Genomic DNA, 24,280 nt, shown 5'->3' with positions numbered 1-24,280 from the left:
CCATTTTCACTGGTCCTTTCAAGTAAGCTTCCAGTCATTGTCCAACCATCTCTATCTAAATCACCAAATTCTTCCTCATTTTCCAATTTGTTCTTGACATCATGAAAAACATAGCATAAGCACAGGAGTAGTCATGAAGACAGAGTTTGGATTTAAGAAGGAGAAATGAGAATGGAAATGAGATCACAGGCTCTTCAATTTCAACTCAGAAAGGCTTGAAAACATTTGTGTTTAGTACCACCGACAAGCCTATATCCTCTAACAAAAACTAATAAAAGCACATTTTACTTCTCTTTCGTATATTAGACTCATCTATTTTTAGCCCGTACTCGCTCAGAAGTAGGGGAAACTACCAGGATTCTCTTGGACAACGTTCCCAGAGAATTCATAAGCCCATTACTTTGGAAAGTATTGCCTTAGGACAGTGGTGGTCAAAGCATGCTTTCTGGGCCAGCAACAAGCTCGTTAAAAATGCAAGATTTCGGGCCACATTCCGGAACTACTGAACGAGAAACTGAGGACGGAGCCCAACAATCTGTGTTTTAGCAAGTCCCTCGACTCATTCTTAAGTACCTAAAAAGTTTGAGAACCACAGGTAAAAACTTACTGACATAATTAAGCTCTACGTGGCAAGAGGACCTGAAATTCAACAAAGATAGGGTACTAAGGGGAAAGCCATATGAAAAACAACAAAATACGCTACATAAACCCCAAGGAAACTTCCAGTAATTCTCTATCACTTAAAACATCACTTTTTTCCTTTCTCACTTTTCTCCTATTATCAGAGGCCACACCAGCTGGAAAAGAGCACGCACTACATGGAGAGCCAGGAGCCCTGAATTCTCCTCCCGGAAGTACCATTTACAGATGTTGTGACCTTAAACAAGTCACTTCATCTCTCTGGAACTGTTTTTATCATCTTTAAACGATTAGAAGGTGTGGAATGGACGGTTTCTCAGATGCTTTCCAGTCCTGACAGTCCATGATTTCTACATTCCATGTCTATTCCACGCTTCTTTCTTCCTCAGGTCGGGGCTTACACACAGGCAGGGGGTGTCGCCTGGGACTCCTCTTTACAAGCCATCGGGACTCAGATAGATAAGCCCTATTTCCCAAGCATTCCTGATATTCTACGGACGTCTCATTTTTGGAGAGGGGGCGAGGAGCAGGAGCGAGGAGACAGCTGCCTGGTCTGTGTGGGTGGAGAGTGACACAAACCCGGCGGGAGTGTCCGTGGTTGCCGAGGGCTACTTAAGGCAAGCTCGGGTGCAAGCGCCTCACCTGGGAAGGCCCACCCGCCCACCCTCCGATCCGGCGCGCCCAACCTGCTCCAGAGTGAGGAGAAGGAACTCCTGGGACAGCAGCTCCGGGTGCAGCAGCAGTTCCGAGTCCGTGCAGCTGCGACCGCCCACATCCCCCGCCATGGTCGTCGCCAGGAGACCCCAGTCGGCTACCCACAAAGCCCCGCGAAGGAAGCGTTGCGGAAGTGACGTACTCGGGCGGAGACTCGCGTGTGTCGTCACTCTGAGTCGCCGCATGCCGGGCTCCTTCTCTCGCTGCTGGTTCGGGTGTTGGGGCCTGGTCCCGCTTGCAAAAGCTCCCACGGACCAGAGAAAAGAGGAGGATGTCAGACGTAGAAACAAATGGCGTGTCAAGTTTCGCAGGAAGAGAGGGAAGAGTGAAGCTCCGGGAGCCAGCCACGATTAGTCGCGCCTTCTGTGACGTCCAATGGCAGAGGTCAAAGGGATTCCTGGGGCAACCTCGAGGGAAAGAATTCTGGCTCCGAGGGCCGGTGTACAGTGCTTTAAATATGGCAGTGGTTATGTGTGAAATTATCGTGTTTTTCTGTTTAACCTGTTTCTTGTCTCTTCATCGCCTTTCTATATAATGTAAGACCAGAGGCTTTATGTAGTGAATTCCCTGTAACCCCGGCTGCTTGGACAGATAGGTATTCAAGTATTTGTTTCTTGAAGTAATCCTCTGAATTAACTTGCTCACATGTAAAAAATAATAACGGGCTGGGAAACGCCAGTAATAGCCGCCAAACGTTTGTTAGACATTTACAGTGTGCCAGGGACTGCATTTTACGTGTATTATCACATTCCTCAGAACAGCCTAATGAGGTATATATTACTAGAATGCCTATTTTTCAGATGAGGAAACTGATGCATAGAAAGGATAATTTACTCAAGAGCGAGGAAGTAGCAAGCATAAAATCCAAGTACATTTTTTTCTGCATGTATTAATAGGTACAATGAAGTAACTTTTTAAATTGCTGTAGGTATCAATCATAGTCTTAATTCCCAGTAATTCACTTACTAAGAAATATTTTCTGCTTCTCTTTCATCATTCATGGGAGAGATACATATCCCTAAATATTTTGCACATTTAAAACTTAAACTTGGGTATGGTGGCTTATGCCTGTAATCACGGCGTTTTGGGAGGCTCAGGTGGGAGGATTGCTTGAGTCCAGGAGTTCCAGGCCAGCCTGGGCCACATAGTAAGACCCCGTATCTACAAAAAATAAAAAAAAAATTAACCGGGCATGGTAGTGTCTCTGTAGTACTAGCTACTCGGGAGGCTGAGGTGGTAGGATCACTGGCGCCCAGCAATTCCAGCCTGCAGTTAGGATTACCACACTGCACTTCAGCCTGAGCGGCAGAATGGGACCATGTCTGAAAAAATAAATAAAAAATAAAACTTGCAGGTATGTTCTGAATGTTTATTGTATGCATCCTCTATGAGGTATCATTTTATTGGAAATTATTGCATTGTCTACAAAAATATGAAGAACTCTGAAGATGCCAAAAGATAAACCGTGAAAGAGTACTAGAAGTGAGCTCCTCAAAAAGATAAAGCTGAGAAGTGTTTCCCAATTTTTCTTACTCATTTATGTATGTAATACTTTATGTCTAGAAACTGAATTTCAGAGCTGGGAGGGAACTTAAAAGTTAGTCCAGTTCTTTCATGTTAGTGCCAAGAAAGCTGATCAGAAAGAGATTAAATGACTTGCCCAAAATTGAATAGTCTTAAATCTGAGCTGAGGCAGGCGTCTGAATGTCTTAAATTGGAGTTAAATGTATTAGCGTCATAGTATTAACATCATCATATTCCATATCTCTCAAATCTGATTTGATTTTCATTACAATAGAGAAATAAGTGTGATTAGTATTATCCCCATTTCCTTCACCGGGAGGCACATTGTTTTAGTATCAAAAGCAGCTACCTTGGGAGAATCCGGGGCTAGAAACCTGACTTCATTTCAAGTTTTACTCTTGTTGCACCAAAACCTTGGGTGAGTTAGTTTCTCAGCCTCAGTCCCCTCATCAGGAAAATGCTGTGTTAGCACTTTCTGTGAAGAATGATCAAAGGAGTGGAGATTATGGAGATTATAAACACACTTGACACAGTAAGTGTTTAAGAACTGGTAGCTGATTTTTACAAAGTTATGGGTCATAGAAGGCAGTTTAGAGAAAAGGGCAGGCTTTGGAGTAGCTCAGTTGTATTATAACCTTGGCTTCTTTACTCACCTAGGACATACATTCTCTCTTTAGCTGTAGCTTCCTCCCTTCTGAGATGGAAATTATAAGCCATCTCACAGTGTTGTGAGGATTGGAGCTCAAGTGTGTAAAATGCCTCCTCTGTGGGCTCTCCTTGGAGAGTTCTTGTATCCTATTGATTGTCATCAAAGGAAAAAAGTGGCAGGATGATGGCATAAGTGGGAAGAACCTTGAGTTTAATAGTCTGAAAAAGTGGTTACAGGTTCTTGCTATGCTTTTCCTCTCTGTGGTTTTCTGAACCCATCGCCTAACCTGAAGCCTTAAACTTCATCTGCAAAAATGTTTTGTGGCAGGTAAGATGTCTTTTTTTTCTTCCAGTACTTCCCAGTTTAAAACTAAGAGTACTTCCTTGCTTATAACTAATTCTATTAATATTATTCTAGGTGACTCTGAAGCAGAACTCTTGAGATGGAAGGATTGTCATCTGAGGAAAAAAAATCAAGATTAAGAGAGGAGGAACTAGAATGAGATTCACATACCGTCTCTCCTCCAAGGGAAGGAGAGAGTGGTGATGCCTGCCCACTCCTTCCTGGGCAGAACATTTGTAGCATGGAACATTGGAGAATTTGCAGTCTGCTGACTTTCTGATTTAGGAGGTTGATGGGGAGGCCTTATAATTTGCATTTCTAACAAGTTCTGAGGTGATGCTTCAAGTATGTCCAGGCAGAAGGGCTGCCTCACAGAGAATTCTGCCATACCACATGGGAATTGAAGTCACAGACATCTCTAACCCTCAAGCCTGAAACCAAAAGACTGAAAACCAACACTACAGTGGACAAAGAACATCTCTGAACTTGTGTGGGGACCAGTGACACAAGGACCTAAGGTCTCTCTCTTCTCATCTTGGCACTTCAGAAGTCTCCCCAATCTTGACAAAGCCCTGGAGAAAGGGCCGGGCCTCCCGTTGATAAGAATATCACTGCAGATAAATGGAGGTTTCAAATTGAAAGAAAGGAGGAGGGCCTCCTGTTGATAAGATTATTGTCACTGCAGGTAAATGGAGGCTTCAAATAGAAATACATTTCAGTTACAGAAAAAAAAATTATCTTTGTTACACATTTGAGTTTGCAGGCCTAAGGTTACTCCCGCTACACTATCATCTGTAACCATAACGCACTCAACATTTTAAGCTAACTATAAGGATTGTTGCTTCACTCAAAGATCCTGAGGTTTTATTCACTAACATTTTTATTTGGTGACTATAGTTGACAAGAACAAAGCTGTGGGGAACCAACAAACACTGCAATGCCTGGCATTGTCACCTCACTAGATTGTGAGTTCCTCTGGGACAGGGTCCGTACATTTTCTTAGAATCCCTCACTTAGCCATTAGCCTGCACAGTGCTTGTACTTAGTAAGTGCTCAGTAAATGTTTGTGGAATGAATGCATGATGAACAAAATATATACTGAGGACTCTTGGTGTTGATTCTTGTTGATAATGTAATAGTTAAGATATGTTATAAATATGTTATAAATATTGTATCAAAATATTGTATCAAAAATATACTTGAACAGGCTGGGCGTGGTGGCTCACACTTGTAATCCCAGCCCTTTAGGAGGCTGAGGTGGGTGGATCACTTGAGGTCAGGAGTTCGAGACCAGACTGGCCAACATGGTAAAACCCCATCTCCACTAAAAAAAAACAAAAGTTAACTGGGCATGGTTGTGGGTGACTGTAATCCCAGCTACTCAGGAGGCTGAGGCAGGAGAATCGCTTGAACCCGGGAGGTAGAGGTTGCAGTGAACCAAGATCGCACCACTGCACTCTAGGGGACAGAGCAAGACGCCTCAAAAAAAAAAATGTATATATATAGTATATACATACACATGAGCATAAAGGAGCTTCAATGTGAAGGTAATAATTTAAGCAACATTTCACATTTTGGACCTGTGTTGTTAGCTATTTAGAACAGTTAAACTACTAGCTTGCTTTTAAATCCATTGTCTTAGTCATTTCAAGTTGTTATAACAAAATACCATACACTGAGTAGTTTATAAACAACAGAATGCATTTCTCTCAATTCTGGAGGCTGGGAAGTCCAAGATCAAGGTGCTGGCAGATTGTGTGTAGTGAAGATCCATTCATCAGAGATGGCACCTTCTCGTTGTGTCCTCACATGGTGGATGGGGCAACAGGCTCTCTTAGGCTTCTTTTATAAGGGCAATAATTCATGAAGTTTCCACACTTATGATAGAATTACCTCCTAGAGGCCCCACTTCCAAATACCATCACCTTGAGGGTTAGGTTTCAACATACAAATTTTGGAGGTACACATTCAGATGATGACAGCACTCATAGGTTACCTTTCATCTTTGGGTTCTCAGTGCCTGCTACAACAGCACAAGAACAGTAAGTGTGTGCTGAATGAATACAGATGAATGAACCTTTCCCCATCCTCAGATACTTCCCAACTGAGCTCCACTATCACCAAACTTCTAGAGCACATTATTTTTTGCCTTATGATCTCGTTAGGTGGGTTTTTCTTGCACATACCACACTAATCCAGTGGTCCTCAAAATTGTGTGCCCATTAGAATCCTCTGGAGGGGTTGTAAAAATAGTTTGCTGGGTCCTAACCCCAGAGTTTCTGATTTAGGAGGTTTGGGATGGGGACACCAAAATTTGCATTTCTAACAAGTCCAGAGGTGATGTTGATACTGCTGGCTACCAACTCTACCTTATAAACCATTGCCCATTAAACTCTTGAGGGTAGAGACTGTCTTCCTCATTTCAGTATCTGCTGAAGCCTCTGGCATAGTACCTGGCACATAGGAGCTGCTAAAGAAGTAGTTGATTGAACAATAGTTCAAAAAAGTTTATTTTACTGAAGCTAGATTACAAGTATATGAATGTGTGTGTATATGTGATTAAATGAGCTATTACATGTAAAAGCTCTTAAAACATGGCACATAGTAAGCTGTTGCTTTAAAAAAAATAAAAAATGTAACCTTTCTTTGCTTATATTCTAAAATGACACCAACCATCCTACATGTGTGCTCTTAAATAGCTTATATATTAGAATAATGGAATCTTAGTACTAAAGGCTGGATGTGGTTGCTCATGCCTGTAATCCCAGCACCTTGGGAAGCCGAGGTGGGTGGATCACTTGAGGTCAGGAGTTCAAGACCAACCTGTTCAATATGGTAAAACCCTGTCTCTACTAAAAATACAAAAATTAGCCCTGCGTGGTGGTGCATGCCTGTAGTCGCAGATACTTAGGAGGCTGAGGCAGGAGAATTGCTTGAACCTGGGAGGTAGAGGTTGCAGTGAGCTGAGAAGATTGTACCACTGCACTCCAGCCTGGGCAAAAGAGACTGTCTAAAAAAAAAAAAAAAAAGTAATCTAGTTAATATTTCAATATTGAGCATCAAGAATTTTTAAAAATTGGTTGAGTGTTTTCTACATGCAGAAAGATACAGCAGAGAGCATAGACACAATCCTTGCCCTCCCAAGCGTATACCCAGCGAGAAAGTGAGAAGCACAGAGTATGTGTAAGCATAAAAATACTAAGTTTTGAGAGTAGACAGCAACTATGAAAATATTCAGTTATATCGATGCAACTCAGTCTTCATTAATTGTTCTCATCGGAGCACATCTTTTTCACATTCTGTAAAGTAACGCTCGGTATGGGCCCAAGGAATATTTAATAAATATTTAAAAATGAAGTTAATAATTGTTTTGAAAGCCATATGGTTGATATTTCTTCTTAAATGTAACCAATAGAAACAACATAAGGAATTTGGCCTGTGCATATATTTGCACATTTATGGTACAGGCATTTACATGGAGGTGCCTGTCATTTGTGACACAGACTTCTCATCAAGTTTCAGAAGGAACAGATGTTTCTAGATGGAATAATATGGAGCTTGCCATTGTAAGAATCCTGTAATAAATCCTTTCATAAAATAAATATATCTGAATTATCTCTTGTTATACATTTTCACTCCTGGATCATCTAAAGTAGAACACAAAGATTGTTCATAAACTATTCATTCAAAACAACTTTATATAAAAAGAATTACTGTTGCTGAATTCTGGATTCTTATTGTTGCTCTTTCTTACTAGCATGGGGTTTGGGACAAGTCACCTTTTTAAATTTTTTTATTTATATTTTCCTAAGTGAATTAACACAGGAAGTCATTCACCTTTCTTTGCCTCAAAGAATTAAATTTATTCTTTGACGCTATTAAGTAAATTAATAGCGTCTACTTCATTGCTCAGTCACTAGCAGTTTCTGAAGTCACTGTCTGGCAGTCAGTAGATATCACCTCTGTAACTAGTCTTGTGCAGCTCTCTGTGATGTGATCTGGTAGAGGACTAAGATACAAAAGCACAAGGGTGAATTCTAGGACCACCTGAGCCAGTGATTAGTTGATGACAAGTCACATAGTCTCTGTGAGCCTGGGTAAAATGAAGAGACTGGATTTGCTCTTGTACCTTCCCAATCCCTGGCTCCACTAGCTGTTGGCCACCTTAGACTTGAAGGTCCATTCACTGCTGCTTGCCCTTGAAGCTCAATTGCTGGTCAGAGCTTTACACTCCTGGGAAGCCAGTCCCCTACCTGGAGGCTGAGCCGGTGACACTGGTTCCACTGGGTCACAGCTGAAGCACCACTGGGGATGGGGCATTTATGTGGCCATGAGTCACACTAGGGTAGGGGTAGAGGGCAAGTCACAGGAAGATTGTTGGGTTTTTTTTTTTTTTTTTTTTTTTTGGCCAGTTTCTTTTCTTTCTTTTTTTATCCCTTTGAAACAGAAGACCATGGCGTACAATCTGGTATCTGCCTTCAGGGTTGGGATAATATCTTTGTTTTACAATACTCAGAGTGGCTGGAAGAAAGCTGAGGCCACAGGTCACTAGCAGGTTCTAAAGTCTGAAAATCCCTGGGAAAATTTGACTTTTTATATGCTAATAATTGAGTACTGACAACTCTGGAGGGAGCTTTCCAATTCTTCCGTCATGAAAGTGGACTTTGTATACTAAAGAGGGGTTCATGGATTCATGGTAACCTACAATTCTTCCTTGCGGCCTGAACCAAAGGAATAGCAGCTACAGTTGGGTTTTCCTAAAAGGAGTAAGATAGTCCCAGGCCTCCCTTCTCAAATAAGTGTATCAAGCAGGTGGACTCTGCCAGTCGGGGGTCCCGGTCAATCCCTAGGGCCCTGGGGCGCCATGGGCCTCGTGGGAGGGCTGCGCATCCCAACCATGCCTTCGTCTCCTGGTGGGGCACCGGCGGTACGTCCGATCCTCCAGCCCGCGTGGTCAGGCGGCCGCGGGCCCAAGCATTTCCCAGGGCCCAAGCATTTCATTCATTTATTCATTCACGCAGCAGGTATTTCCCGGGCGCCCTCCTCCTGTGTAGGTGACAGAAACTGGGTGGCGAGCGAGCCAGGCAAAGCCCGGCTTCCCTGAAGCTCCCCGCAGCGGCGGGGGCGGAGAAGAGACCTCAGCCCCGCGGGCTCGCACAGCTGGCGCGGACCACGCTCTCGCCCGGGGCCGGCGGCCTCAGCGCCCCCCGAATGAACACCTTCCGCCCGCTGGCCGCCCCGCGAGGCGGGCCGTGTCGTGGCCCCGGTGCACGGAGGGGGACGCCGAGGCCCGGAGCAGGGCCCGTCTCGGCCTGTGCTCGGAGCCAGGCGGCAGGGCCCGCGGGCCGGCGGGCGGCGCGGAGACGGCTGCGCTCCCGCCCTCCGCCAGCGCCTGGCGGCCGCCCCACGTGACGGGAAGCGGCGGCTGCGGGGTCGGGCCAGCCCAGGAGCCGCGGGCCGGAGCGGGGCGGCGGGGCCCCAGGCCGCGGGGCGGCGCGGGACGGCGGGCGCCGGCGCCGGTGAGTGAGGAGGGCGGCGGGGCGCGGGGTGCGGGGCTCAGGGCGCGGGGCGCGTGGGGCAGGAGGGCGGGGAGCAGGAGTGGGGGGTAGGCGGCGGGGCGGGGTGGAGGGCGAGCCCGTGCGTGTGCGCTGGGGCAGGTGTAGTGGGGGCTGGAACGCGGGGTGGGGGGAGCAAGTGGCTATACACTTGGGGGCAGGTGTGCGGGTGTGCGACTTGGTAGCTGTCCCTTGTGGGGGCCGGCTAGCCTGCTGGGGTGAGCAAATAAGTGTTCACGTGTGTGTGGGATGAAGTGTGCACGGGTGTGGGGTCAAGTGTGTATGTTGTGTGTGAGGAGTGCGTGTGTGTTTAGGGCAAGGGAAGACCTGAGAGACCTCGTCCTTGATTTGGGTTTTCCGGGGAGAAGGGCCAGGAAGGACTTGCACCTCCATCCCTGGTATGGAATGGTTTTGGCGCTGTGATTGAGGTTTCTGGGAGCTCTTTGGATTTGAGAGCTCAAATTCGGGTCACACTCAGGCCTGAATTGTCCTGATCTGGAGAGTAGGCAGGGGTGTGTTGGGGAGTAGGGAAAAGTGCTGTGCTGGGCTTCCTGGCCCCTGTTTTTAGCACCAGGTCAAGGGCTGGAAGCTGTCATCCCTGTGGAATTGTTTTCTTTCCATTGCCTTCTGGAGGTGCAGGTGCAAGTTAGTCCGCCTGCCTCCCTGTGTTAAGTGTTGATATCCTTAAACACGGAAGCTGTCCGGTTGTCTGCACCTGCCGTGGCTTCTACCCAAGGACTGTTGAGTGACCCTCAGGAAGCCTCCTACCTGGCTGCTAAAAATGGGGGCTCACAGATCACACAGCAGGCCTTACTGCACGTGGACTGCACGCGCAGCTGTGGTCAAAACATGTCTGAGCAGAGTTTAATCACTGATGAAGTGCTCATGGGCAAGCACCTTGTCTATCAGGAAGGAAGGCAGCTGCGGGTGTGATTGTGGTGGCAAGTTAAGGCACTGAGAAGGTGTGCAGGGAAGATCCTACTGCGTTGTGTGTGTTGGCTTGGTTGGAGTCAGGATGAACGAATGTAGAGGGACTGTGTGGTGGCTGCTACTCTCTCATGGTGGACATGCTTCTCTCTGTTGGTCAGCCGGAAGCTGGCAGACAACTGAGAGCTCGCAGTTCCATGGTCAGTCAGAAGGAACATTTGGTCAGCTGCTTCCTTTTCTTTTTCCTTCCATTTCTGCCAGCCGAGCAGCCTCAACAGTCATTGCAGCTGCTTCTGTGATGTGTAGCAAAACGCTGCCTGGAGTACTAGAAAGTCTACTGGCTGGAATCTGCTGGAACCTGTCCATAACTAGCCTGCCCCAGGTCATCTATGAAATGGGAGTGATGCTCTGTGGTGGTAATGAATGTGGAGTGTGGGTTCAAATCCTGCCTCTGCCATTTCCTGTGACCTTTGGGCAATTTGCTGGACATTCTGAGTCTCAAATTCCTCCATCAAAATAGGGATAATATTAGAAAAGGCACATGAATTCTAATAAGAAATTGTGCCTGGAAAGGATCCGGCACAGGGTCTGGCATTTAGTAGGTGCTCAATAAATTATTGCTGACAAATATAAATGAGGATGTAGAGCCAGGTCTCCCTCAGCTCTGAAAATATGTAGTTTTATGTTTTGAGTAATTGTTAACCTAACAAATGATTTACTCTGGAGTTAGACTTGTGGGTTCTGAATTCCAATTTGCTATGTGCATCAAGGTTTGCATTACACAATTGAATTGGGTGAGAGGTGAGGTGCCACTGTTAGCCTTCATTCACTCTGCCTTTTCTTCTACACTCATGATTGTGCATGGCAGTCCTCTTGTCATAGCATTGGAGGCAGAGCGTTTTCACCACTGCAGGAATCCCAGGACCAATCTAACCTCAGCTTAAACCCTCCAGAGACAGGGATTTGTAAAGGGCCCATTCTTCATTTAGGCAGCTCCAGTTGAGGAGTTTTAAAAGCATAGAGCTCACTATTTTAAAAATGCTATATTTTCTTTTTGTTGTTGTCTTCTGGGTGGTTTTTTTGCTGTTGTTTTTGAGACAGGGTCTTGCTCTGTCACCCAGGCTGGAGTGCAGTGGTGTGACCATGGCTCACTGCAGTCTTGATCTCCCAGACTCAAGGGATCCTCCCACCTCAGCCTCTCAAGTAGCTGGGACCACAGGCTCGCACTACCACACCCAGATAATTTAAAAAATTTTTTTTGTAGAGATAGGGGTCTCCCTGTGTTGCCCAGGCTGTTCTCAAACTCCTGGCCTCAAGCAATCCTCCTGTCTTGGCCTCCCAAAGTGCTGGGATTACAGACCTGAGCCGCTGCGCCCAGCCAAAAAACTTGCTGTATTTTCTGGGTCTGATATGCAGCTAACATTTCTGTTAGGAAAAAAAAAATGAAGTTATTTGGCTTATTCCTTCATGCTAATATTACAAATTTGTGATCTTTTAAGAAAACTTGAAGAAATTTTACTTAATGGGTTAAGTGTCTTCATCTTGGTCTGAATCCAGCCCTCATTAGAAATACATTAAAGTAGTCATTTGTGGCAGCCAGGTGTTTGGATACTGCCGAATAATTTGGCTCAGACTTTACAACTCATCTCTGTAGCAAACCTGACTCGTTTTTCTTTATTTAAAAAAATAAATACCTACTAAATGAATGTAGAGTAACAACTTAATTTGGTGCTACCCCAAATGACTTTAAGTGCCTCATGAAAAGTGAATTATGAAATCTTGCAGATGATTTGAAATCAAGATCTTTTCTTGATAGTCAAGTAACTGCTGTTGAAAAAGTTAAAGATTTAAGGAAAAAATCACATATTTAAAGATGACAACTGACTGGATATTATGGACTATCAAGTCCTGTAGGTACTCAATAATTTTTTTTTTCTTTTTTTGAGACAGGGTCTCACCCTGTCACCCAGGCTACAGTACAGTGTCGTGTTCTCGGCTCACTGCAACCTCCATCTTCCAGGCTCAAGTGATCCTTCCACTTTAGCCTCCCAAGTAGTTGGGGCTATAGGCACATGCCACCATGCCCGGCTAATTTTTGTATTCTTCTATAGAGACAGAGTTTCACCATGTTGCCCAGGTTGGTTTTGAACTCCTAAGCTCAAGCAATCCATCTGCCTCGGCCTCCCGAAGTGCTGGGATTATAGGCATGAGCCACTGCTCCTGGCCAGTACTCGATAATTTTTTGTGGCTGTTTGAAGGTTCAGTATTGAGGAAGATGTTATGAAGTAAATGCCATATTTCTATTCTGCTCTTCTTCTACCTCCCACTTCTCTTCCTAAACCCTTTTAATTCTAACTGCTGATGGTACTCTTATAGGATGTATATTATATATATGTACATACACACACACATACACCCTTATGCATATGTATGTATACACACACCATATATAGTATGTGTATATATGTGTGTGTATATAAATATATGTTTATATGTATTTAAATAATTTTGATTAGTATTGCCCAGTAAAAAGGATACCAACTATGAATAGTTACATATATTAAATATACATCATGATAATATTAAGATGACAAGTTAGATATTAGACCTTAACTGTCTTTTTTTAATCCTCTTTTTTTAGATACTCTTGCAGATTATCAGAGCAGGTTCATTGCACTATAACTAATCTTGCTGTCTCTGTTGCATGAGTGCAAAAGATAACATAAAATGGTTGTCAAGCAGTATCTTCATTTTCAAAGGGGGGAAAAGTTGACTTTTGTACAAGCCAGTAAATTTATTGTTGATTCCTGACAAATTTCAAGATTGAGTCATTCAACAGATGGCTGTGGGACTTAGAGAAGAACACGGGACCAGCATGGGGTGCAGCTCAGGAAAAGCAGTTGCTGTCACATAAATGTGTATCCTGTTTTGGTAGATTACTATGTTAGTAGAGAACTGTGTCAACATACTATTCTGTGTCTGAATTTCAGCAAGCAGATAGAGCCACAGGATTCCTCTTCTAGACTCACGGTGGGGAAGCAATAGCAAAGACTCCTCAGGAACTGCAGCAGCATGCCACTCTAAGTACCATAGTGGCCTCCTGCTGAGAGTTGTTGCTTTGTTCAGAACTGAATTCTAGGAGAGGATCTGAAATCATACTTGTTCCCCTCAATCAATAAGAATATGGCCTTGGAGTCACGAACAAAAACTAGGGTCAAAGCCCTGTTTCATCACCTTGTAGCCAGGTAACCTTGAGCAAGCCACCTAAGATCTCTGTATCTCCATAATAATGTCCACCTCTCAGCGTCAAGGTAAGAACGAAAGGATAATGCTATATCGAGTGTGCAGTATCCCACCAAACCCAGTTTTGGGGCTCTCCTGAGGGGGCAGTCAGGGTGTCAGCCAGGGCTGCAGCCTATGGGTGCCATCCATCATCCAGGCTTGGGGCAGCATTGGCCTTGGGAGCCAGTGTGGCATCTGATTAAGGATGTGTGCTTTGGAGCTGACTACCTGGGTTGGAATCCCAGCTCTCTACTTACCAGCATGACTCTTCCACCTTTCAAGACCTCCATTCCCTTCCTCTTCATCCAGAAGTAGCTGGAGAATGGTATAGGAGAAGCACACAGCCCAGTCCAAATTTCTGTTTTATAGAGAACACAGGCCCAGACAAAGCCTCTTAGTGAGTTGCCTAAGATCATCAGGAAGTGACCAAGCAACAAGCAGAGCTCAGGATTCCCAGATTAATGTCGGGAATGTCTGCTATGCAGCGTGCCCACATTTACCACAGTTCACTGCCGGGGTGGCCCAGTTTCGCTCTGGGGCCTTGATCCTTATTACTGAGGGGCTGTGCTCCTTCCCAGCCTGAGTGTCCACCCTCAGAGTCCCCCACTTAACTGCTTCTCCCAAAGCTCATGGTATATCCAATTCTGAACACAGCAGGAGTCAGCTCACATTCACCCCAACCCAATCTCAGCCCCTCTGTCAGGGGAAAGACTCCAAATGAGTAAAACTCCCAAACTCTCCTCTGAAATGCATTTTCAGAAGGAAAAAAAAACTTTTAACTTATGGGTATTATTCATGCTTGTAATTTTAAGCGAGGACACTTGGCTGGAGAAAAATCACCTCTAAAAGTGGCTCAATAAAAAAGGCTCCAGTAGCCCAGAGTGTGCTAGCGCAGTCCTGGGCTGGACTGATGGGTATTGGTTCATGCTTGTCCTTTTTAGTCACTGACACAGTCTTATGACTGTTTCCTTTCCTGCTAGAAAAGGAGATTCCCAGGTTTCTTTTCTATTTCTTGATCACTCTAAGGTGAGATAATTACCCAATATACCACGATTACATTTTCATTTTAAAATTTGAAGTAATTTTGGACTTACCTAAGAGTTGCAAAATAGTGCAGAATTCATGAATACACTTTACCCAGCTTCCTCTTTTGTTAACGTCTTGTATGGCTGTAGTATAATGATCAAAATGAATCAATTAGTGCTAGTATACCACTATAAAGTGCACACAGTATTTGAATTTCACCCGTTTTTCTGCTTAATGTCTTTTTTCTGTTCCAGGATCCTTTTTCTGATCCAGTTTCCCCACTTTGCATTTAATTGTCACTTATTCTTGGCTTCTAATCTGTGACAGTTCCTCAGCCTTTCCTCTTTTTTCGTGACCTTAACACACTTGAAAGGGTGTGAGAGATTTTGTAGACCATCCCTCAGTTTGGATTTATCTAAACTCCTCCAATTCCCATGGGGGATTCGAGATGCTCTCTGACAATCACCTTCACAATCTATAGAAACAACACATTTAAGAAAACCACATCAGTATCTCAAGACTTTAAGTCAACCCGTAAACCTACCAAAATGCATTTTTCAGATGGGACTTCAGTGATTGTCAGAGAGCCTATCAAACCCCCCATGGGAATTGGAGGTGTTTGGCAGTTTGTTTTCTAGTAGGGACTTTTGTTGACATCTCATTTCACTCATTTAGCACAAACACTGCATCTGAAGGTAGCTTGCAGTGGGAGAATATTGCTGGCAAGGTTTGCCTTTTCTCACCCAATATAGAATTTTGAGGCTGTGATTTGGCTCTTCATTCAGTCAGGAATGCAGCATGGGAAATAGAGGTTTTCAAGCCTTCACTCCCTGCTGCCTGCAAAAAAAAGTGTCCAGTCATACCTGCCTGTCCTGCTCAATACCCACGATATGATGGTCAGGAGAGGAAGAATGGGCATGAGGTTGGTGCCTGTGCCAAAGGGAGATAGGAAGGTCTGAGTTTGCACTGAGTCCCAAGGGGTCGCAGAGATAGAGGCTGAGCAGCAGGTCCCTTGGCAGCTGCCCACGCTGTTTCTGTTTCAGGAAGCTGACAAAGCCAGAGGTGGGTGTCAGCACATCCCCCCGCCCCCTCTACTGAAGTCACCACCTGACTTTTCCAGGCTCTCCCTCCTCATCCAGGCGTCACAAGAGCCACCATCACTGGGACCACAAGAAAACTGGCCTCCAATGCATGCTTCTGAGTCTTTCTCTCTTAAACTTCTCAGGACCAGCCTCAAAAAACATGGGGAATAAGGCAAGGTGTCCCACTGTGTTGCATACCACCCTTTTCCTTCACCTTCCTCCTCACCACCATGGTTTGCTTTTGGCTGAGTCCTCGGTGATTTAGCTTTCTCTCCTAATTATATGGCACCAGCATCCTGACTGGTTGATTGGGAGCTGTGAACGGCTGAAGTGTGCCAAGCTCTGTCTGCCCCCCATCCGTCTCAAAGGCTGTTAGGATCTATGGCAACTTTTGTCAGTTCACTTATAGGTTTGGTTTTTAGAGCTAATATATGATATACAGTCATGCATCAGTTAATGACTAGGTTATGGTCTGAGAAATCTCCCATGGGGCAATTTTGTCATCATATGAACATCATAGAGTGAATTACACAAACCTGGATGGTACAGTGTATTATACACCTGTATAGCTTCATACCCTAAGCTATATGGGTATGGCCTATTGTTCCTAGGGTGCAAACCTATACAGCATGCTACTGTCCTGAATCTCTAAGCACAAGAGAATCTTGTAACACCAAAGTATGTGTGTATCTGAACACATCTAAACACAGAAAAGGGATAGTAGAAATACTGTATAAAATACTAAAAAAAGGGTCCACCTGTATGGGGCACTTACTGTGAATGGAGCTCGCAGGACTGGAAGTTTCTCTGGGTGAGTCAGTGAGTAAGTGGCAAGTGAAAGTGAAGGCCTAAAACATTACTGTACAGTACCATAGACTTTGTAAATATTGTACACTTAGGCTACACTAAATTTATTCTAAAAATACTTCTCTTCAGTAATAAATGAGCTTACTGTAACTTTTTGACTTTATAAACTTCTTTAAAAGTTTTTCACTCTTTGTAATAACATGTAGCTGAAAACATGTTGTATAGCTGTACAAAAATATTTTCTTTATATGCTTATTCTATAAGTTTTTTCTTTCTTTTTTTTTCTTTAAACTTTTTGGTTAAAAATGAAGACACAAACACACACACATTAGCCTTGGCCTGCACAGGGTCAGGATCATCCTTATCCCTGTCATCCACCTCCACATCTTGTCCCACTGGAAGGTCTTCGGGGGCAGTAACATGTGTGGAGCTGTTGTCTGTGATAACAATTTCTTCTTCTGGAGTCCTCCTGAAGGACTGTTTTACAATTAACTTATTTTTTCCTGCATAAGTAGGTGTACGCTCTAAAATAATGATAAAAAGTGTAGTGGAGTAAATACATAAACCAGTAACATAGTCATTTATTATTATATCAAGTACTACATACTGTATGTAATTGAATGTGCTAGACTTTTCAACGACTGGCACTGCAGTAGGTTAGTGTACGCCAGCAACACCACACATGAGTGATGCATTTTGCTACAATGTTCCAACAGTTAGATTGTCACTAGGTGATAGGAATTGTTCAACTCCATTATAACCTTATGGGACCACTGTTGTAGATGCTGTCTGTTGTTAATGGAAATGTCATTATACAGCACGCCACTGTGTTCAGTTTTCCCCTGTGATGGACATTGCTATCTGTCTATGGCTTCATGGTCTTAGTAGATATGTTTATCCAGGTTAATTGAGAAACTGCTTCTCAGAGAAACATTTTTTTTTCTATAAAAGTTCTATATTAAAATGGCAAAATAGAAACTTGAAAAACATCATTGTAGGCCAGGCATGGTGGCTCACACCTGTAATCCCAGCACTTTGGAAGGCCGAGGTGGGCAGATCACCTGAGGTCAGGAGTTCGAGACCAGCCTGGCCAACACAGTGAAACCCCATCTTTACTAAAAATACAAAAAATTAGCCAGGCATGATGGCGGCTGCCTGTAATCACAGCTACTCAGGAGGCTGAGACAGGAGAAGCACTTGAACCTGGGAGGCAGAGGTTGCAGTGAGCCGAGACCGTGCCACTGCACTGCAGCCTGGGCAACAAAGCAAGAGACTCCATCTCAAAAAAAAAAAAAATAAATAAATAAATAAGTCATTGTATTTATACAAAAACTGTAAATTGTAGGAAGATGCAAAGAAAGAAAGATACTCACGCCTAAAGCCAGGATCCCTGCCATCAGCCAGTCAGAGGAAGTCCAGTGTGTGGGAATCTGTGCCGTCCCCCAGAGCCCATTCTGAGGCTGCCCTTGTCCACCAGACGTTGCTACTTTTCATATGGACTAGCGACAGATGAGAAGGAGGCAGTGTGTTTTCCTTTAGGGATTATTACGTTGTTAAATTCGATCCCACCACTGTAGTTAATGGTAACTATTTTCTGACTCATAGTGTTAATCCTTTGGAAAGGTATCTAGAGAGTAGTGTTTACTGAAATCCCTTTTGACAACTGCTTGGTTTGTGGAGTGCCTTGGACACTTACAGGCTCTTTGGAACTCAGCAGCAATTCCGAACTGATTGTAGCTTATACAATAAGAGACTGATATTATGGAACAATAAGAATAGGTTAATAGCTATAATTTTTCTTACTAAATAAAGGAGGAAAGGTTGGCTGAGGTTAAAATTTTAAGGGCTGTGCTTCTTAAGCTGAGTCTGGAGTTTATCTTTTGGGCAGGGAACTACCTTCTGGTATGTTATAAGGAGGATAATGACCTAGTGTTTCAGGTGTGTGGCCCACATTCCTGCCTCCTTTCTGCATTGCCTTCAGATCTGACCTGGCTTTGGTCCAAATGTTAGAATGACCACTTGATCTCTATTCATTTTTGATGGACTATCATAAAGAAAAAAAAAAAACTTCTTGCTGTAAAATGAGAAAATAACAAATCTTACTTGAGGTAGTGTGTCCTTTTTAAAATGCAGATACAGAATTAATTTTTAGCTTATTCATAGGACAGTGCCTTCTATTATAGGGCTGAGTTTTTGCGGTTCCTCCCCCAGGGTGATGAAGTTCTGGTGCACATATAGCTGCATAGGTTTCTGAAGAGTCTGTTTCATTTATAAGCTGTGAAGTAATTAGAAAATGTGAGGGTTTTTTGCAGACACGTAGGACACCAGGCCAAGCTTAAAGTTGGCTCTCAGGTGGACATTATTTGGTAGAGCAGATAACAAAGTGTCATTCTTTGATTCAAGAATAATTACTGGTAAAGAGCCCATTTTAATAAATGCCAGTTTGTCATAGCATTCTTTTTGGCAGAATATATTTATCTCTGTACCAGATTAGGAGTTTCCTATTGTGTGTGTGTGTGTATGTATGTGTGTATATAACATGTATGTATGTATGTATATAACAAATATATATATTTCAATATATAACAAATATATATTTCACTATATAACAAATATATACACACATACATATATGTATATATGCATTAAACACATATATACCTATATATGTTAAACATATATATTAAAATCTTATATATGTATTATGCTAATATTTATATAGTTAATGTTGGAGTTACAAGCCTCTTTTTTTTTCTTTCCTTTTTTTTTTTTTTGAGAGAGTTTTGCTCTTGTTGCCCAGGCTGGAGTGCAGTGGCATGATCTCAGCTCACTGCAACCTCCGCCTCCTGGGTTCAAGTGATTCTCCTGCCTCAGCCTCCCAAGTAGCTGGGATTACAGGCACCTGCCACCACACCCAACTAATTTTTGTATTTTTAGTAGAAATGGGGTTTCACCATGTTTGCCAGGCTGGTCTCAAACTCCTGACCTCAGGTGATCTACCCACCTCAGTCTCCCAAAGTGCTGGGATTACAGGCGTGAGCCACTGCGCCTGGCCTACAAGCCTCTTTTTATGTCTAGATTATCTACTTAAAATATTGCTCTTGGCCAGGCGCAGTGGCTCACGCCTGTAATTGCAACACTTTGGGAGGCTGAAGCAGGCAGATCACTTGAGGTCAGGAGTTTGAGACCAGCCTGACCAACATGGTGAGATTCCCGTCTCTACTAAAAATGCAAAAATTAGCTGGGCAAAATGATGCACGCCTGTAATCCCAGGTACTCAGGAGGCTGAGGCACGAGAATCGCTTGAACCTAGGAGGCAGATGTTGCAGTGAGCCAAGATTACACCACTGCACTCCAGCCTATGTGATGGAGTGAGACTCTGTCTCACACACACACACAAAAAAAGGCTCTCATTCCACGTTTATTCTTCCTGCTGTGACTTTTTTTTAATGAGGCCTGTCCTTGGTGAGTTTTAGTATAGAGGAAATGGAAAGAAGAGTAAGATAGTAAAACCAGTTTTGAACTGGTTGAAACTGAGAGTGGAGATACTTATGTGGCCCTGGAAGTGGAAGGGAGAGGGACAGAGGCCCATGAGGTAAGGGGCTAGCCTCACAGAAGCTGCTGCCCCAGACGGTATACACGCCCATGGGGCAGGGTGTTCGCCCCCTGAGCCATCTACCACATGCTGGTCTTTCCCTTTACCTTCTAGGGTATGTTTATGGGAAATGATGGATGGAATGCCCCAAATTGGACTTTGATATCCTGAGAAATGGCCATTAAATATGGATATAAAATAAGCTAAGCACTGCATTTAGATAAACTAAGAAATTATAAATCACTTATTTGTTTGATAAATGTGCTTCCATGCAATGAAATTTTTAACAAGGAACATACAGTTTGTGAATTCTACCAGGTTTATTAAACAGATTCTTTCTCTATTTCCAGGGTAAGCTGGTTTGGGGAAATGAGTAGAATTTTATACATTCTACATGTACGTGTATATTTTTAATTAATATTTAATGCCTATAAAAATATATTTGTAATCTGTATAAGATATAGAGAGTCATAATAAAAGCAACCCTCAGCTTCAGAAATAAAACATTACTGACCGTTGGGAATCTCATGCACACCCATACCCAGTCCCATCCTCCCCGGATTTGTGTTCATCATTCCCTTAAGATTCTCTTAAGATTCATCCTTGTGGGCGGCTCTAGTTCATTCTCTTGCAGCTGTACAGTATTTCAGCCTTTGGAGGAAACATGAGGTGTTTCTAGTTTTCCTGTGTCTCAAACAGGATTGCTGTGGACTTTCTTTGCCCTGGTAAGCACAAAACAGACTCAGTAAGGCAGATGCCTAGGAGTAGAGTCATGGCTTACTCAGTCATGGCAGGGGCTTCCTAGGTAATGATAACCTGTCCTTACCAGCTCCGAACCTTCCCCTGGCATGGTGGAGCCTCCTCATTGTGCTGTGTTCTTAGGAACACCTCATGTTGTCAGACTTCAAATATTTGTCAATTTAATGGGTAGAAAATGAAGTATCATTATAGGTGTAATTTGCAAATTCCAGGTGCTAATCAGGTTGTGTTCTTTCGTGTTTATTGGATATTCATGTTTCCTCTCCATTGAAAGGTCTGTTTGTGTATTTCGCCCATCCTTCTGTTAGATCCTTGACTTTCTTGCTGCAGGAGTTCCCACATCATCCAGATGTTTCTAGTCAGATACATGATGTCAGTGTCTTCTCCCTAGCCCCCTTTTCCCCTTATCTTTTCACTTTCTTCATGGTGTCTTTTGAAGAACAGAAACAGTACATTTTCACATGGGAGAATTTATCATTTTTCCTTAGGGTTTGTGCTTTTTTATATCTTATTTTAGAACTTCTCCCTTACCCTAAGAAGGTCATGAGAATATTTTTTCATGCTTTTTTTCCAGTGTTTCAAAGTTATGTCTTTTATACTTAAGAATATTAATCACCTGGAATAATTTTGATGTGTGGTGTGAGGTAGGAATCTAGCTTTCTTTTTTTTTTTTTTTGAGATGAGTCTCACTCTGTCGCCAGGCTGGAGTGCAGTGGCACGATCTTGGCTCACTGCAATCTCCGCCTCTCAGGTTCAAGCAATTCTCCTGCCTTAGCCTCCCGAGTAGCTGGGACTACAGGCATCCGCCACCATGCCCAGCTAATTTTTGTATTTTTAGTGTAAATGGGGTTTCACCATGTTGGGCAGGATGATCTCCATCTTTTGACCTCGTGATCCTCCCACCTCGGCCTCCCAGAGTGCTGGGATTACAGGCGTGAGCCACTATACCTGGCAGAATCTAGCTTTCTTATATTTTCTATGGACATCTAGTACATACAAATACTGTACTTGTATTCCTATGGACATACAAGTACTGTTTACTGTACATGTGTATACACGGTATATGCCCCACATGTACAGTGCCAACCTAGTCAGGTTTCAAGTTTCCACATATGCATGGCCTGTTTCTGGGCACCCAGTTGTGTTCTCTAGGTCTGTCCTCGTGCTAGTCCAACATTATCTTAATTACCACGGTTTTTGATTATATTGTATATGTTGAGTCAAGTCTCCTGACCTTTTTTCATAAGTGTCTAACTTTTTCTGGCCCTTTCTGCCATGTGAATTTTTTTTTTTTTTTGAGACAGAGTCTCACTCTGTCACCCAGGCTGGAGTGCAGTGGCATAATCTCAGCTCACTGCAACCTCCGCCTCCCAGGTTCAAACGATTCTCCTGCATCAGCCTTCTGAGAAGCTGGGACTACAGGTGTGCACAGCCACGCCCAGCTAATTTTTGTATTTTTAGTAGAGACGGGTTTCACCATGTTGTCCAGGCTGGTCTCGAACTCCTGACTTCAGGTGATCCACTTGCCTCGGCCTCCCAAAGTGCTGGGATTACAGGATTACAGGCATGAGCCACTGCTCCCAGTCTGCCATGTGAATTTTAGAATCTGCTTTTTGAGTTATGTGCGCGTGCGCGCGCGCGCGCGCGCACACACACACACACACACACACACACACACACACACACACACTCCCTATACCTGTAAGAGTTTGTATTGGAATGGCATTTTTTTTTTCCTCTGGATCAGGTAGGGGAATTTTTTTTTTTTTTGTAAAAAACATAATTTGCATACAGTAAAATACACAGAACATAAAGGCACAAGCCAATGAATTTTGATAATTCCATACACTTGCATAGCTAATACCTTAAATAAAATACAGACTATGTCTGTCACCCAGAAAGTTCACTGTGTCCCTTTCCACTTACGCATCTAGTTCCTTCCAAAGTAAACACTGTTCTGATTTCTGTCGCTATAGATTAGCGTGGCCTACTTTTGAACTTCAGATAATTGGAAATATACAATATAGGCATGATTTCTTCCACTCAGTGTTTTTGAGGGTCATCTATTTGTTGCCTTTGTCAGTAGTTTACTTCTTTTTATTTCTAAGTAGTATTCCACTGTATAAATATGCCACAATTAAATGGGGGTAAGTGGGGAAAACTGAGCCGTTCCCTTTTTTTGGGTAATATGAATAAGCTTGCTGTGCATATCTCATATCTTATACAGGTCTTTTTGTGGATATAGATATATACCCAAGAGAAATGGAAATATTAAACATGGTGTAACTGGACAAATGCATGTTTAAGTTTATAAAAAACTGCTGAACAGATCTCCAAAGTTTACCCTTTTAAACTCCTTCCAGCAACGTATGAGATTTCCAGTTGTTCTACATCCTCATTAACATTTGGTGTTGTCGATCTTTTTAATGGTAGCTCTTCTAGTAGGTGTGAAGTGATAGCTCATTGTGGCTTAAAATAAATATCTCGGTTAAAGATAGGGAGCATCTTTTCATGTTCTTATTGGTCATTCATATGCCTTTTGTGAAGTGTTTGAGTCATTTGCCCATTTTAAAAATGTTTGTCTTCTTGTTATTAGTTTGTAGGAGTTTTTCTATATTCTGGATATGAGTCGTTTGCCAGATATATGCATTACAAATTTTTCTCCCAGTCTGGGGCTTGACCTGTTGGTCTATCCTCATGTCTTAATTATTGTAGTATTAGAGCAATTTCTGAAATCAGTTAGTGTAGGTCCTTCAGTTTTGTTCTTCATTTTCAAGACTGTTTTGACTATGCTATGTTCTGTGCTTTCCATTTAAAATTTAAAACCAGCTTTTCAATTTCTGCAGAAAAGCCTTCTAAGATGACAATTTGGGTCTTCCTTAATGTCTAACAATAAAATTTTATTATTTTATCCATAAGGATCTTAAATATCTGTTAGATAATTCTTTCATACCTTATATTTTCTACTATTGTAAGTTTTTTTTAAGTATCTAATTTTGGGGCTAGAAATACAAACTACTTTGGTTTTTAAAAAAATTAAACTATAAAGTCATTAATTCTAATAGCTTTTTTGTGGGTTTCTATGTAAACAGTAATGTTATCTGTGAATAATTATAATTTTATGTTTGTGTTTTCAATTCTTTCTTTTTTTTTTTTTTTTTGAGACAGAGTCTCGCTCTGTTGCCCAGGCTGGAGTGCAGTGGTGCGATCTCGGTTCACTGCAAGCTCTGCCTCCTGGGTCCAAGCGATTCTCCTGCCTCAGCCTCCCAAGTAGCTGGGATTACAGGTGCCTGCCACCACGCCTGGCTAATTTTTTGTATTTTTAGTAGAGATGGGGTTTCACCATGTTGGCTAGACTGGTCTCGAACTCCTGACCTCA

At 43.1% G+C, this 24,280-nt stretch overlaps 2 protein-coding genes and 1 long non-coding RNA gene across 12 annotated transcripts in view, besides 5 other annotated features; 2 read left to right on the top strand and 1 right to left on the bottom strand.

The window, feature by feature from the left end:
• C2orf49 (chromosome 2 open reading frame 49) overlaps positions 1 to 1,472 on the bottom strand; it is a 48,360-nt gene extending 46,888 nt beyond the window's left edge. For all 8 annotated transcript variants that reach the window (XR_007081585.1, XR_007081586.1, XM_047445805.1 and 5 more), the window contains exon 1: positions 1,326 to 1,472. Coding sequence is in view for 6 of the 8 variants with exons in the window: in XM_047445805.1 (XP_047301761.1) it covers positions 1,326 to 1,424 (99 nt within the window). In the remaining 2 variants the exon portion in view is untranslated. The remainder of the gene's footprint in view (positions 1 to 1,325) is intronic.
• Positions 1,380 to 1,429: an enhancer, noted in NCBI's record as "active region_16315". NCBI's record gives its function as "activates an Ori minimal core promoter by ATAC-STARR-seq in GM12878 lymphoblastoid cells {active_cell/tissue: GM12878}" and the evidence as "EXISTENCE:reporter gene assay evidence [ECO:0000049][PMID:35858748]".
• Positions 1,440 to 1,829: an enhancer, noted in NCBI's record as "active region_16314". NCBI's record gives its function as "activates an Ori minimal core promoter by ATAC-STARR-seq in GM12878 lymphoblastoid cells {active_cell/tissue: GM12878}" and the evidence as "EXISTENCE:reporter gene assay evidence [ECO:0000049][PMID:35858748]".
• On the top strand, positions 1,519 to 7,483 carry C2orf49-DT (C2orf49 divergent transcript). Its single transcript, NR_187479.1, has 2 exons — positions 1,519 to 3,853; positions 3,944 to 7,483. It is a non-coding gene; the product is annotated as a C2orf49 divergent transcript (long non-coding RNA).
• Positions 8,963 to 9,392: a silencer, noted in NCBI's record as "silent region_11837". NCBI's record gives its function as "represses an Ori minimal core promoter by ATAC-STARR-seq in GM12878 lymphoblastoid cells {active_cell/tissue: GM12878}" and the evidence as "EXISTENCE:reporter gene assay evidence [ECO:0000049][PMID:35858748]".
• The window catches only part of TGFBRAP1 (transforming growth factor beta receptor associated protein 1), an 80,332-nt gene continuing 65,328 nt past the window's right edge, over positions 9,277 to 24,280 (top strand). For all 3 annotated transcript variants that reach the window (NM_001328646.3, NM_001142621.3, NM_004257.6), the window contains exon 1: positions 9,277 to 9,387. The gene's annotated coding sequence lies outside the window, so the exon portion shown is untranslated. The remainder of the gene's footprint in view (positions 9,388 to 24,280) is intronic.
• Positions 13,866 to 14,160: an enhancer, noted in NCBI's record as "tiled region #6730; HepG2 Activating non-DNase unmatched - State 14:Gen5'". NCBI's record gives its function as "activates a minimal TATA promoter and a strong SV40 promoter by Sharpr-MPRA in HepG2 cells {active_cell/tissue: HepG2}" and the evidence as "EXISTENCE:reporter gene assay evidence [ECO:0000049][PMID:27701403]".
• Positions 16,279 to 16,438: an enhancer, noted in NCBI's record as "active region_16313". NCBI's record gives its function as "activates an Ori minimal core promoter by ATAC-STARR-seq in GM12878 lymphoblastoid cells {active_cell/tissue: GM12878}" and the evidence as "EXISTENCE:reporter gene assay evidence [ECO:0000049][PMID:35858748]".

This window comes from Homo sapiens, chromosome 2 (genome assembly GCF_000001405.40).
Source record: "Homo sapiens chromosome 2, GRCh38.p14 Primary Assembly".
NCBI lineage: Eukaryota > Metazoa > Chordata > Mammalia > Primates > Hominidae > Homo > Homo sapiens.
Note: the sequence above shows the minus strand (reverse complement) of the source record. Positions and strands in the feature narration are given on the sequence as shown.